General features: G+C 53.1%; 1 pseudogene, besides 3 other annotated features; it reads right to left on the bottom strand.

Moving 5' to 3' along the window:
* Nucleotides 7,753–8,952: an enhancer, noted in NCBI's record as "CDK7 strongly-dependent group 2 enhancer chr17:73074528-73075727 (GRCh37/hg19 assembly coordinates)". NCBI's record gives its function as "activates an origin of replication core promoter dependent on BRD2, BRD4, P300/CBP, MED14 and CDK7 cofactors, with strong dependence on CDK7, by STARR-seq in HCT116 cells {active_cell/tissue: HCT116}" and the evidence as "EXISTENCE:reporter gene assay evidence [ECO:0000049][PMID:35650434]".
* Nucleotides 7,753–9,039: a biological region, named in NCBI's record as "CDK7 strongly-dependent group 2 enhancer GRCh37_chr17:73074528-73075727".
* On the bottom strand, nucleotides 7,836–13,079 carry TRIM80P (tripartite motif containing 80, pseudogene; annotated as a pseudogene).
* Nucleotides 8,810–9,039: an enhancer, noted in NCBI's record as "active region_12733". NCBI's record gives its function as "activates an Ori minimal core promoter by ATAC-STARR-seq in GM12878 lymphoblastoid cells {active_cell/tissue: GM12878}" and the evidence as "EXISTENCE:reporter gene assay evidence [ECO:0000049][PMID:35858748]".

Genomic DNA, 14,814 nt, shown 5'->3' with positions numbered 1-14,814 from the left:
GTGCATTAGTTGAAATGTACTCAGTTGGCCGGGAGTCTCGCTCTGTTGCCCACGCTGGAGTGCAGCGGCGCGACCTCAGCTCACTGCAGCCTCCGCCTTCTGGGTTCAAGCAATTCTCCTGCCTCAGCCTCCTGAGTAGCTAGGATTGCAAGTGCACGCCACGGCACCCGGGTAATTTTTGTATTTTTAGTAGAGATGGGGTTTCACCATGTTGGCCAGGCTGGTCTTGAACTCCTGACCTCAGGTGATCCACCCGCCTCGGCTTCTCAAAGTGCTGGGATTACAGGCATGAGCACCGCACCCGGCCTTGTTTATTTTTGATCTGTGGACGATGGAGTTTCACAGCCTCAGACCTTCACCCTCCCTCTTCTCACTCCACATGGTGACTCCAACCACACCCTGTATACTCAGGATCCGGTGCCTTTTATGTCCAGTCCAGATATTCAACCTGGAACCTATCCTTGTGTGCCTCAAAGGCCTTTAAAACTCAACACTGACCGGAACTTGCCATTGACACTGTCCTCTGCCGCCCCCTGCTAAACCTGGGATACCTTATGTGCTCCATGCTTGAGCAAATTACAGCACCACATCTACTTAGGTGCCTGGGCCAAATCCCATGAGTCTCTTTGACCTTTGCCTCTTTCACAACCAATCCACAACGACGTCCCACTCACTTTACCCCCTTACTGTTTCTCAAACCTGACCATTTACCCTCATCTCCATCCCCACACCATCCACCGCCACCCGTTGTCCAGCTCAGACCTCAGATTCCTTTTCAACACTGTAGGTGACTGATCTTTCGGATCCATTAAGCCTGATCTTGCCCTACTGCCAACCCTGCTTAAAACCCTGCAGGCCTTGGCCAGGCGCGGTGGCTCATGCCTGTAATCTCAGCACTTTGGGAGGCTGAGGCGGGAGGGGCGTCTGAGGTCAGAAGTTCGAGACCAGCCTGGCTAACATGGTGAAACTCGGTCTCTACCAAAAATACAAAAATTAGCCGGGTGTGGTGGCGCATGCCTGTAATCCCAGCTACTTGGGAGACTGAGGCAAGAGAATCACTTGAACCCAGGAGGTGGAGGTTGCAGTGAGCTGAGATCGTGCCATTGCACTCCAGCCTGGGTGATGAGAGTGAAACTTGGTCTCAAAAAAAAAACAACAAAAAAACAAAAAACTGAAACCCTGCAGGCCTTGGAGATGAAGGTGAGCCCCTGGGGTGGCTACAGGGCCCTTCCAAGCCTGGCGCTTACCCACCTTTCTGGCCTCAAATCATTCTTCCTCACTCACTGACCTCAGCCACTGTAACCACCCAGTGGGTTCACCTTGCCCGCTGCCTAGACAAACCCGATTTATCAAAACGGGGGATTGCAATAGAGAAAGACTAATTCATGCAGAGCTGGCTGCGTGGAAGACGGGAGTTTTATTACTACTCAAATCAGTCTCCCTGAGTATTTGGGGATCAGAGTTTTTAAAGATAATTTGGTGGGTAGGTGCTGGGGAAGTGGGGAGTGCTGATTGGTCAGGTTGGAGATGGACTCATAAGGGGTTGAAGTGAGGTTTTCTTGCTGTCCTCTGTTCCTGGGTTGGATGGCAGAAGTGGCTGAGTCAGATTACCAGTCTGGGTGGTGTCAGCTGATCCATGGAGTTCAGAGTCTACAAAATATCTCAAGCACTGATCTTAGATTTTGCAATAATGATGTTATCCCCAGGAGCAATCTGGGAAGATTCAGACTCCTGCAGCCAGGGGCTGCATGACCCCTAAACCGCAATTTCTTTCTTTCTTTTTTTTTTTTTTTTGAGACAGAGTCTCACTCTGTCACTCAGGCTGGAGTGCCGTGGCACAATCTCAGCTCACTGCAACCTTCGTGTCCCAGGTTCAAGCGATTCTCCTGCCTCAGCCTCCTGAGTAGCTGGGATTACAGGCTCATGCCACCATGCCCGGCTAATTTTTGTATTTTTAGTAGAGACAGGGTTTCACCGTGTTGGCCAGGCTGATCTTGAACTGCTGACCTCAAGTGATCCACCGACCTCAGCCTCCCAAAGTGCTGGGATTACAGGTGTGAGCCACTGCGCCCAACCAATTTTTTTTTTTTTTTTTTTTTTGAGATGGAGTCCTGCTCCGTCACCAGGCTGGAGTGCAGTGGCACAATCTCAGCTCACTGCAACCTCTGCCTCCAAGGTTCAAGCGATTCTCCTGCCTCAGCCTCCTGAGTAGCTGGGACTACAGGTGCGTGCCACCATGCCCAGCTAATGTTTGTATTTTTAGTAGAGACAGGGTTTCACCATGTTGGCCAGGATGGTCTCGATCTCTTGACCTCATGATCCGCCTGCCTTGGCCTCCCAGAGTGCTGGGATTACAGGTGTGAGCCACGGCACCAGCACAATTATCTTAACAGTATCTTTTGAAGAGCAAAAGTTTTTAGTTTTGATGAAGTCCAGTTTATATATTTTTTTCCTACAGTTCATTCTTTTTGTGTCCTATCTTTGTTTACTTTAAGGATGGAAATATATATATATATATATTTTTTGAGATGGAGTCTCGGTCAGTCGCCCAGGCTGGAGTGGAACCACACGATCTCAGCTCACTGCAACCTCTACCTCCCAGGTTCAAGCAATTCTCCTGCCTCAGCCTCCCAAGTAGCTGGAATTACAGGCGCCCGCCTCCACACCTGGCTAATTTTTGTATTTTTAGTAGAGACAGGGTTTCACCATGTTGGTCAGTCTGGTCTCGAACTCCTGGCCTCAAGTGATCCGCCTGCCTCGGCCTCCCAAAGTGCTGAGATTGCAGGTGTGAGCCACCACGCCCAGCCCTGAAAAGCCTTTATCTCAGTGTGTAGCTTAGTGTGGGCACCACTGTGACCAACCTTAGGGTCTGTTCCCCCAAACCCCTGAGCTGCGGTGGGGGCAGGGAATGGATCTACGTTGCTCCCCACCGCACCCACCCTGCGGAGCCTTGTGCCTGGCCCACAGGAGCCACTCACGGGACACTTACAGAGCACTGAAGCAAACCGGGCAGAAATTGAACCATCTCCAGCTGTGTGGTTCGCTGTGTGAAACTCAAAGGCAACAAGGCCTTTGACCTCCAGACAGGAAATGTCAACGAGAAAGATGCAGCTTCCAGAAACACTTGGCAAGGACCCAAAAGCCTTCTAACCAGTGCCCCTGACACTGACTTCTGACACTTTGATTCTAATTTACTTTGGCAAGAGTGAGCAACTGGCTCCAGGAATGTTATTTCACTTTTCATCACTTTTCACGCAGTGTTGCTATACCAACACATTACCAACAACAGGGGCGCTATCTGTGTTGGGGGCAGGACTTGAGCATTGCAGAACATTTGGCATCCCTGACACCCCCTCCTTGTCTGTGACATCCCCTGCTAGGATGAGGTGACTGAGCCACTCACCTCCGGCTCAGAATATTAGGGGACACCAAAAAAGCTCAGTAATTAAGACAAAAAGTTAATGCAATATTGTTAGAAAATCCCATCAGCAATCCATGGGCCTTGGGGCAGTTACCTGGCTTTGTGAATAAAATTTCATTGGAACCAGCGAGTGAATTCCTTTGAGAGGAGTTTGGCAGGGAGTGCCAGGTCAGGTCAGATCTGTTCTTTTTTTTTTTTTGAGACAGATTCTCGCTCTGTTGCCCAGGCTGGAGTGCAGTGGTGCGATCTCCGTTCACTGCAAGCTCCGCCTCCCAGGTTCACGCCATTCTCCTGCCTCAGCCTCCCGAGTAGCTGGGACTACAAGCGCCTGCCACCACGCCCGGCTAATTTTTTGTATTTTTTAGTAGAGACGGGGTTTCAGTGTGTTAGCCAGGATGGTCTCGATCTCCTGACCTTGTGATCCACCCGCCTCAGCCTCCCAAAGTGCTGGGATTACAGGCGTGAGCCACTGCGCCCAGCGATCTGTTCTTATTTTATTTTATTTTATTTTTTTTTTTATTTATGTTTTTGAGACCGAGTTTTGCTCCGTTGCCCTGGCTGGAGTGAAGTGGCACGATCTTGGCTCACTGCAACCTCCACCTCCTGGATTCAAGCAATTCTCCTGTCTCAAACTCCCCAGTAGCTGGAATTACAGGCATGCGCCACCACATCTGGCTAATTTTTTCTTTTTTTTTTTTAGAGGGAGTTTCACTCCTGTTGCCCAGGCTGGAGTGCAATGACGTGATCTTGGCTCACTGCAACCTCTGCCTTCCAGGTTCAAGTGAGTCTCCTGTCTCAGCCTCCCTAATTTTTGTATTTTTAGTAAAGACAGGGTTTCACCATGTTGGCCAGGCTGGTCTCAAACTCCTGACCTCAGGAGATCTGCCTGCCTCGGCCTCCCAAAGTGCTAGGATTACAGGCATGAGCCACCACGCCTGGCCAATATTATTTAATTTATCTTGATTGCTAAGTTTTTGATGCCTTCCCTTAAATGTTGCACTCCAGGTGACTGTCTCACTTTCCTCACTCTGGTCACTGCCCCGCTCACAACGCCTGTGTTTCCCAACCCCCTAGTCATCTGAGAAGCCCTGGAGTCATATAAGCCTCAGTCAATATGAATGGCATCCCTATGCATGCCGTTTTACACATCAGGCAACAGGCTGGGAGAGGCACGTGTCTCTCCCCTGACCCACCTGCTCAGGAGGGTCCTCAGGCTCAAGAATCTTCAGGCTACAGGGAGGTCAAAATGGACACAGAAGGAGACAGGCAGTTTCTTTGTCCTGCCTAGATGCAGTGGGTACATGGACTCAGCTTCAGAAGGGACGAAGGGGATGGCACGAGAGGGGAAGGAAGGAGGGAAGCAAGCATGCCTGGGCCATCCACACCCAGCCTGGCCCAGGAAGGGATCTGCAGTGGTCCCCAACCTCCAACCTCTGGAAGGGTTCCTTAGTTCTCGGGTCCACTACTATTAAGCATCTGCTGTGTGTCAGGCACGCGTGAAGCATTGGAGTCATAGGCATGACATACCCAGCTGACCCCTGAGTCTGATGGTGAATTCACACATGAAACAGGACAACGTGGGTGGCAGGGGGCACATGTGCAAAGGGTATTATGGAGCAGATGCGAGGCAAACCCGCCTGGCTTGGAGAGTGGAGACTGAGACTTCCTGGAACACTTAGCTGAGTCTTAGGGAATGAGTGGGAATAACACAAGCAGGGGGTGGGTGTGAAGGGTGCTTCAGGCAGAGAGGACGGCATGAGCAAAAAGGCCAGGAGGTGGGATGCTTTGGGGGTGGAATGGAGTGGGGTAAGAGTGGGGATGAAGGGGGCTGGTGATGAAGACAATGGGAGTTATGGAGACAGGTGTTCATGGTAGGGAGCTGGAAAGAAATGGGGGAAGGACTGGGCTGGCAGGGCGGGCTGAAGACGGCCCACCTCTCCTTAGCTGGTGGAGCCTGGTCCGGGTTGCCATCAGCTGCCTTCCATCCCAGGAAAAGTGCAGAGGTGAGCTTATGTTCTCTTGGGAAAGATGCTCCTGACAGTCATCGGGTACCCATGGTATGCCAGGCAGGGCCTCTGTTGAGGTTCCCACAGACACCCTCTCCCTTCCAGCCCAGCCCTGAGCACACTGCCCTTGGGAGGAAAGGGTTAAAGGCTCCTTCCCCAGTCTCCTGCCATCTGGTCTTGCTCCCTGCTTCCTCCCGCCTGTGAAAATGGGATGATGGGATGCCTCCAGGTTCTTTGGCTCTACTTGGACCCTCCCGAGGAGTCTGGGTCAAACTTGGAGTAACATCCAGGAAGCAACATATATGGCTTTGACTGGGTTGCCTCTTGTCACCCACTTGTAGTGGGAACCAGGGAAGAGATTAAGGACAAAACAAAGCTATTGGACAGATTTGTAGGATGTATTAATAATATGCTGCCAGTGAACAAGCCCGTTTTTGTCTCATGATTAAAATAAACAAGCCCTTTTTCTATTTTGACAGTAATTTGGGAAAATATGCACAGTATGGATACTGGTGAAAATGTACCATATGGTGTGGTGGCTCAGGCTGGGTATGGTGGCTCATGCCTGTAATCCTAGTACTTAGGGAGGCTGAGGTGGATCACTTGAGCTCAGGAGTTCGAGACCAGCCTAGGCAACATAGTGAGACTTCATCTCTTTAAAAAAAAAAAAGTACCATATGACCTGTTACTCTGTCTTCTAGCTTCCTACATTTGCAGCTGTTACATTGCTCTGTCTATTATAGACTGGAAGGAAATACTGCAGGAGAGGCTATCTTTTGGGGGTAGGATTATGAGTGTTTTTTTTTTCTTTTTTGAGATGGGAGTCTCACTCTGTTGCGCAAGCTGGAGTGCAGTGATGTAATCTCTGCTCACTGCAACCTCTGCCTTCTGGGTTGACGCCATTCTCCTGCCTCAGCCTCCTGAGTAGCTGGGACTACAGGTGCACGCCACCACACCCAGCTAATTTTTTGTATTTTTAGTAGAGATGGGGTTTTGCCATGTTGGCCAGGATGGTCTTGAACTCCTGGCGTCAAGTGATCCACTTGCCTCGGCCTCCCAAAGTGCTGGGGTCACAGGCATGAGCCACCATGCCCAGCAGGTTTTATTTTATGTGTTTCTATGTTGTGTAGATTTTCTACAATGTATGCATTATAAGAGAAGTGGTGTAGTACAGTGATTAAAAAAGCAGACTGCCTGGGTTTGAATCCTGGCTTCCTAACTTGCATACCTTCATGACCTCGGGCAAGTCCTTTATCCTCTCATCCCTCAGTTTCCTCAACCATACAAATGGGGATAATTAATGATACATATTTGTAGGGTTATGAGAATTGAATGAGTTCGTACTTTTTTTTTTTTTTTTTTTTTGAGCTGGAGTCTCCCTCTGTCCCCAGGCTGGAGTACAGTGGTGTGATCTTGGCTCACTGCAACCTCCACCTCCTGGGTTCAAGTGATTCTCCTACCTCAGCCTCCCAAGTAGCTGGAATTACAGGCGCACACCACCATGCCCGGGTAATTTTTGTATTTTTAGTAGGGATATGGTTTCACCATGTTGGCCAGGGTGGTCTTGAACTCCTGACCTCAGGTGATCTGCCCGCCTTGGCCTCCCAAAGTGCTGGGATTATAGGCGTGAACCACCTTGCCTGGCAAGTTCATACTTATTAACATTCTATTTGCTATGAACGGTGGCTGGCACATTGTAGGCACTATGGAAGTACATTACATAAATGCAGAATTACTTTTATAGTCAGAAAGTGTAGACCAGCCTGGGTAACATAGTGATACCCCATCTCTACAACAAATGAAAAATTAGCCTGGCATGGTGACCTGCACCTGTGGTCCCAGCTACTCAGGAGGCTGAGGCGGGAGGATCGCTTGAGCCCAGGAGGTTGAGACTGCAGTGAGCTGTAATCATGCCACTGCACTCCAGCCTGGGTGACAGAGGGAGAACCTGCTTAAAAAAAAAAAAAAAAATCACAGAAGGGCTCTTTGGGGGCAGCAAGTTCAGCCAGTGCTCATGAATAACCCACATCAGTGGACCCTGCCCCTCCCTTTTCCCCCACTGTGGGGCCCAGGGCAGGGACTGTCCCTGAATGCCACCCACTCACTCTTCCGGTCCTGCTTTAGCACTCAGGCTAAATCCAAACAGGCTGTAAACAAATCTGCCTCCAAGGATTATTTGAAAAACATTTCCGGCCGGGTGCGGTGGCTTACACCTGTAATCCCAGCACTTTGGGAGGCCGAGGCGGGTGGATCACGAGGTCAGGAGTTCAAGACCAGCCTGGCCTGGTCACAGATGTGTGACCACACCCAGCTAATTGCCCAGGCTGGTCTGGAACTCCTAGGCTCAAGTGATCCTCTTGCTTCAGCTTCCCAAAATGCTGAGATTAGAGGCATGCGCCACCACGCCTGCCCGCCCTGTGATGTTTTCCCCCATGAAGCACAGGCTGAAACCTGGGTCACTAATTTCTCCAGGAACAGGCCAGGCAGAGACCAGACACCCTGACATTCGGTTTGCTAACCTGCCTCCTTGAAAGCACAGGCCTGCTTGCCATCTGGCTCGTGGAAATACTGAAAAGAGTTTCAGGACCCTCAGGACCACCATTGCGGACCTATGGGGGCCCAGGACTCCCCCAAATAAGGAACAGCTGTTTGAGAGCAAGTATCATCCCCGGGACATTTGGATGTGTGCCTGAGGGTGTCACGCACCATCCTGCCACCAAGTGTCTTTCAGAGCGGGGAGGACTTGGCGAGGAAGCCCCTGTCCTTGCCAGCCCCGTGATGTGGGAAGACTCTGAGATGTATGCGGCTGCTGCTACCCACTTGGGTCATGCACTCACCTTTTCAGCATTTCCTGACCTGAGCGCTCCTCTGCAGAAGCCTGTGGCCACTGGTGCCAGGAGGAAGACTGTGGGGTGGGGAGGCAAGATGTGGATTTTGGGTAAAAGGTCTTTTAATAAGGGGCAAAGAATTCGAGCTCATTCCTTACTTCACAGGGGCAGCAGCCTGTGGGGAATGAGTCACTGGGCTCAGAGCTGAGCGAAGGCTCCAGGGAGAAAGGCTACCACGAGGCTGTAGCCAGGGCTTCCTCAGAGGAGCCCCCCCGCCCCCACCAACCTTCAGAGAACACTCTGCTCCCCCTGTGCCCTCCTGGCTCCAAAATGACCACCTTGAAGGAAAAACCGGGTCACTAATTTTTCCCGGAACAGGCCAGGTGGAGACGGAATTCAGGAACACCCCTGGGGCACCGCGTGGGCTGGTTCTGGAATTCGTTGCCCTTGGGATTTTTTTCTTCAGTGATTTGTATCAGTTCCTCTTCAGAGCCAATCATTAACCTCGCTGAGAACCCTTGCTTGAGAAGCCACAGGAACAAGTGGCTGGTTGAGGCTGGAAATGTGGAGGTGGCTCCATGGTGCACCCAAATCTTCCGCTTCCCCAGACAGAGGAGCTGAGTTCTCAGTCATGGCCTGGCCAGGGTCCCCTGGCAGGGTCTCGGCCTGGATTCAGCCTCTGGTCGCATGGCAGAGGCCTGGATATGGACGTAGCCCCTCTGCTGTGAGCAGTGCTACCTTCTGGGAGCTGAGTGGGTTGGTGATGGCTGGGGATGGGGGAGCAGCTTTCAGCAGCACTCAGCAGGGTGGAGGGGGTTTAAGGTTTACTCACCCGCGATAGTGTCACACCCCCTCTGGGCTGTAAAACACCAGCTGAGTGAGCAGCTCTGCTCTGGGCAGCAGCCCCACCCCTGCCTGGGCTTGGGTCCCCAGCCCAACATTTTTGGATCTGAGGTAGGCCTGGGCTCCTCCAGTTTAACCTCTCAGGCGACAATGAAGCCACTCAGACAGCCCACCCGTACCCCAATCCAGCTGGCGCCACCTCTCAGTCTGACCACCTGGCCCAAACCTTGCCCCCTCTCAGACGACAAGGCCTTTGGCACAGGCCCCAGTGCCAAGCGGCCAAGACCAGCCTGGAGAACCAAGGCCAGAGGACGCTGCTGGGATGGGGTTTGGGAGTGGGCTGTGCACCGCAGTCAGGAATCCCCCACCCACAAGGCCACGGGACTGTCCCCAGTGCCTGGGGGAACTCTAGCCGGATTAGAGCCCTCCTGTGGCTGTGGCGAGAAAGGGTCGCCTGCGTTTTGGGAGGTGGGATGGCGCAGGGCCGGGAACCGTCCTGGCGCGCCAGCCAGCGCTTAGATAAGTCCAGGTTTATTTATGGGGTGCTGTCACGGGCGGCGCGGGCTCCGGGCGCCGCTTGAGCGTGGCCGAGGCGCCGCTGCTGACCATGACCGCGGGGTAGAGCGGCTCGAGGAAGGCTGCCAGGAAGCGGTAGAAGAGGCTGGCGCCACCCGCCAGGCCGTAGAAGGACAAGCCGCCGGCGTCGCAGTCGAGCGCCACGCCCAGCGTGCGGTGGTAGGCGCCGTGCAGCACGGTCTGCGCGTTGTCGTCCCACTCCAGGCACCACGAGAAGGGGTTGCGGCCCAGCAGGTAGACCACGCTGCGGCTCGGGCGGCCGCCGAGCGGGGAGCTGCGGGGGTAGGTGACGCCCAGGCACACCCACGAGTTGGACACCTCCACCTCCCGTCCTAGTGGCGGCCCTCGGACAGGCCGCGCGAGCACAGCATCTGCGGTCACTGCTTGAAGCCCGGGAAGGGGCCGCCCCCTGTCAGGGGCTCCAGGAGGATCCCCAGGTTCAGCACCCAGCGGGTCTCCTAGAGCTGGAACAGCTCGTCGCCGGCGGTGGCGGGGTCAAAGTTCAGGTTGCAGTAACCTGGCGGGTGGAGGTGGGGAAGCAGGGTCAGCAGCCTCCAGGGCAGGACGCTGGCTTGCAAGGCATTTGCATACAAGTCAGGGGATGCTTCCACCCACGCTCCTGTCCCCAAACTCAGCCCGCTGCTCAGACACAGCCTGGAGGGTGAGTGGGTGCTGCCCCAGGTCGCCCTCCTCCCCCGCCATCAGACCCTAACATCGTCTCCCTTTGTATTTGTTCAGGCACACAAGACTGAGTGGGGGCCCAGCGAGGTGGCTCACGCCTGTAATCCCAGCACTTTGGGAGGCCAAGGCGGACGGATCACTTGAGGTCATGAATTCAAGACCAGCCTGACCAACATGGTGAAACTCCATCTCTAATAAAAATACAAAAAAATTGGCAAGACATGGTGGCAGGCACCTGTAGTCCCAGCTACTCGGGAGGCTGAGGCAGGAGAATCACTTGTACCCAGGAGGGGGAGGTTGCAGTGAGCCGAGATGGCGCCATTCCACTCCAGCCTGGGAGACAGAGCGAGAGTCTGTCTCAAAAAAAAAAAAAAAAAAAAAAGGCCAGGCGCGGTGGCTCACGCCTGTAATCCTGTAATCCCAGAACTTTGAGAGCTGGTTAAAGAAGCTGAGGCCCATGTCCAGCAGCCGCATCCAGAGCTCAGCCAGGGTCTCTGGCAGCTGGGGGAAGCTCTGCGTTTCCTCACAGTTGATGCCCATCAGGGGTTCCATGCAGGCTGAGAACTGCTTCAGTCGGAGGAACCCCTGGATGCAGGGAGGGGCCAGAGGTACCACCTGTTAGCCAGGACCTAGGCCGATGCCACAGGCCCAGAGGCCTCCAGAACCATGGGCCGGTGGAGCAGAAGCTTCCCCTTTCCAAACCTGGGCATCTCCTTTCCCTCCTCCTAGCTATTTGGACATCAGAGGTCAGGGCTTTGCCAAGGGCTTGGCCACTGTGGCCTAGTGTGCATTAGGCAAAGGGGATTTTCAGAAAATGATGGGAGGATTTTTGTTGTGCCTTGAACTGCTTAGTAAAAGCCATTGCCAAATGCTTCCCATTGTGCACAGGGGACAAAGTGAGCAGTTGCCCTAGATGTCTGCCCAGGGTGTGATGGCAGCTTAAAGGAAGCTGGAGTTCCCAAGCACAGGGTTTGGGCAACTCCAGGCACCGTCCAGAAAAGGCTGCTGCTTGGCCCCACCCGCTACTTACAGCAGCATCAGTCCAGGCTTCAGGGCCAGGCCAGGATTGGGGAAGGAAAAGGGATTTCACGATTCTTTTTTTTTTTCTTTTTTTGAGACAGAGTCTTAGTTTGTTGCCCAGGCTGGAGTGCAATGGTGCAGTCTTGGGTCACTGCAACCTCCACCTCCTGGGCTGGAAAAGGGATTTCAATCCAGGCTATACAGATTGTTCTGGTCTCACTCTCAGCCATGATCCAGGGAAGTCTGGAGAAACTTAGGCTGTGCTAGATGCCTGGAATCCCATGTGTTCCAGGAAAACCAAGGCAGGAAAGTTAGGGTAAGGCTGAGCTCTGAAGTGGAGAAAGCCAAGGGTGTTCGTGCAAGCTCAAGACAGAAGACCTGGAATGGGGAGGCTCCCTGAGGCAGGGGAATGGACACAGTGATGCACCCTAAAGGCTGATCTGTGTGTGTGTGTGTGTGTGTGTGTGTGTGTGTGTGTGTTTTTGAGACGGAGTTTCGCTCTTGTTGCCTAGGCTGGAGTGCAGTGGCGCAATCTCCGGCTCACCGCAACCTCCGCCTCCTGGGTTCAAGCAATTCTCCTGCCTCAGCCTCCTGAGCAGTCAGGATTACAGGCATGTGCCACCACACCCAGCTAATTTTTGTATTTTTAGTAGAGACGGGGTTTCTCCATGTTTGGTCAGGGTGGTCTCGAACTGCCAACCTCGGGTGATCTGTCCGCCTCGGCCTCCCAAAGTGCTGGGATTACAGGCGTGAGCCACCGCACCCGGCTGTGTGTGTGTGTGTGTGTGTGTTTTGTGGTTTTTTTTTTTTGAGATGGAGTTGTGCTCTTGTTGCCCAGGCTGGAGTGCAATGCATGATCTCAGCTCACTGCAACCTCCGTCTCCCAGGTTCAAGTGATTCTCCTGCCTCAGCCTCCCGAGTAGATGGGATTACAGGCGCCTGCCACCAAGCCTGGCTAATTTTTGTATTTTTAGTAGAGGTGGGATTTCACCATGTTGGTCAGGCTGGTCTCCAACTCCTGACCTCAGGTGATCCGCCTGCCTCGGCCTCTCACAATGCTGGGATTACAGGCATGAGCCACCACTCCCGACCGAGATCTGATGTGTTTGTGGGTGGAGGGAGAGTGGAAGCTGCGATGGGGCCTGAGCCAGAGGCAGAGGGCTGGGACCTTGCCTGCAGACGTTGCTGGTCACTCTGGTTGATGAGCAGGGTGTGGAGCCAGACGCTGTCTCCTTCCAGCTTCAGGAGCCGGTTGTGGCTCTGCTGGATGGAGCTGCTCAGCATCCCCAGGGCGGCTGCTTCCTCTTTCTCCACGAAATCCAAGATCTGCATCTGCAGCTGTTTGACCTCCTGATGATCTCCGAGAAGTGGGTGTTCGCCTCACCTCGCATTGTCTGGATCAGTTCCTGGAGGTTGTGGGGTGTGTAGAGAGGCGTCCGTGAGCTCCACTCCAGCACCACCACTGTCACAGCCCGGAGCCCACCTAGGCATCCTGTCCCTGACTGCCTGGTCCCATGCCATCCACTCAGAGTCCTGGGAGGTCCCTGCAGCCTGATGCAGGGCACTGGGGAAGCCTGGGCCTGGGGTGGGGTGGGCCAACCTTACTGAGAGAAAGGCCACCCGACCCTGGTGCTTTTGGCCGTCAGCAGCGATGATCAGCATCTGCTTCCCCACAGTGTCCTGGACCTTTTGAACCTCGACCTGGGGTAAGGTGTTGGGGGAGAGGAGGAGGGGCCCCTGATTCAGAGAGGTGGCCTCAGAGAAGCCCTACTGCAAACAGGCCCATGTCCGAGCCCAGAAGAGACATCCCTCATTCATTCTTCTGCTCAGCTTAATGAGAATGAGGGTGCAGTGCTGGATGGCCCACGGCCTAGCCCTCTGCTTGGAGGGCTGCTCCCACTCCCTGAGAGCCTGTCTCTAATTCGAAGGAATCAGGTTATTTGCTCCTAACAGTGATGATCATAGGGTTTCAGGCCACAGGAAAGGGCCTTGGAGAGCTCAGGAGGCAGCAGGGCCAGAAGGGGCATAGCAGGTATACAGCCGTGTGGGCGCCCTGCGGCAGTGCTGCCAGGCCCAAGTCCCACATAAGCCTTTAGTCTCCACCTATCCCAGCAACGGGGATTTTCATTGTTATATTACACAACAGTGCAATTCCAAGTGCTGTCCATGAACCACTGCTGGCTCTTAGCAACATAAGAAGCTCATGCCAGGTTGTAAATCAATGTAGTCCTTCCTTCACTGACAAAGTCTTTTTTTTTTTTTTAAGGCAGTGTCTCGCTTTGTCCCCCAGGCTGGAGCACAGTGGTGCAATCTCAGCTCACTGCAACCTCTGTCTGCCTCCCTGGCTGAAGCCATATTCCCAGCTTAAGCCATCTTCCCACCTCAGCCTCCTGAGTAGCTGAGGCTACAAAATCTTGCAATGAAAAAAGTGTCAGCCGGGTGAGGTGGCTCACGCCTGTAAATCCCAGCACTTTGAGAGGCCCAGGGGGGCAGATCACTTGAGGTCAGGAGATCGAGACCATCCTGGCCAACACGGTGAAACCCCGTCTCTACTAAAAATACAAAAATTAGCTGGGTGTGGTGGCGCGCGCCTGTAATCCCAGGTACTCAGGAGGCTGAGGCAGGAGAATAGCTTGAACCTGGGAGGCAGAGGTTGCAGTGAGCCAAGATCACCCCATTGCACACCAGCCTGGGCGACAGAGCAAGACTCCATCTCAAAAAAAAAAAAGTATATATATATATAGGCCGGGCGTGGTGGTGCATGCTTGTAATCCCAGCTAATTGGGAGGCTGAGGCAGGAGGATTGCTTGAACCTGACAGGTGGAGGTTACAGTGAGCTGAGACTGAGTTACTGCCATCCAGAGACTCAAAATAAATAAATAAATAAATAAATAAATAAATAAATAAATAAATATGTATATATATATATATACAGTATATTAAACACAATTTGGTTTTTTTTTTTTTGAGACAGAGTCTCACTCTGTTGCCCAGGCTGGAGTGCAGTGGTGCAGTCTTGGCTCACTTCAACCTCTGCCTCCCGGATCAAGCGATTCTTGATTCTCATGCCTCAGCTACTTGAGTAGCTGTGATTACAAGCGTGCGGCACCACGTCTGGCTAATTTTATTTTTTTTGGTATATTTTAGTAGAGACGGGGTTTCACCATGTTGGCCAGACTCGTCTTGAACTCCTGGCCTCGAATGATCTGCCTGCCTCGGCCTTCCAAAATGCTGGGATTACGGGTGTGAATCACGGCTCCCAGCCTTAAACACAATTTGAAAATGGAGGCGACCTGGCACCAGTGCTCACGCCTGTAATCCCAGCACTTTGGGAGGCTGAGGCAGGCAGATCACCTGAGGTCAGGAGTTCAAAATTAGCCTGGCCAACATGGTGAAACCCCGTCTCTACAAAAAATACAAAAATTAGCTGGGCGAAGTG

Source organism: Homo sapiens, chromosome 17 (genome assembly GCF_000001405.40).
Source record: "Homo sapiens chromosome 17, GRCh38.p14 Primary Assembly".
Taxonomy (NCBI): domain Eukaryota; kingdom Metazoa; phylum Chordata; class Mammalia; order Primates; family Hominidae; genus Homo; species Homo sapiens.
The sequence above is the reverse complement of the archived record's forward strand: the minus strand, read 5'-3'. Positions and strand labels throughout refer to the sequence as shown.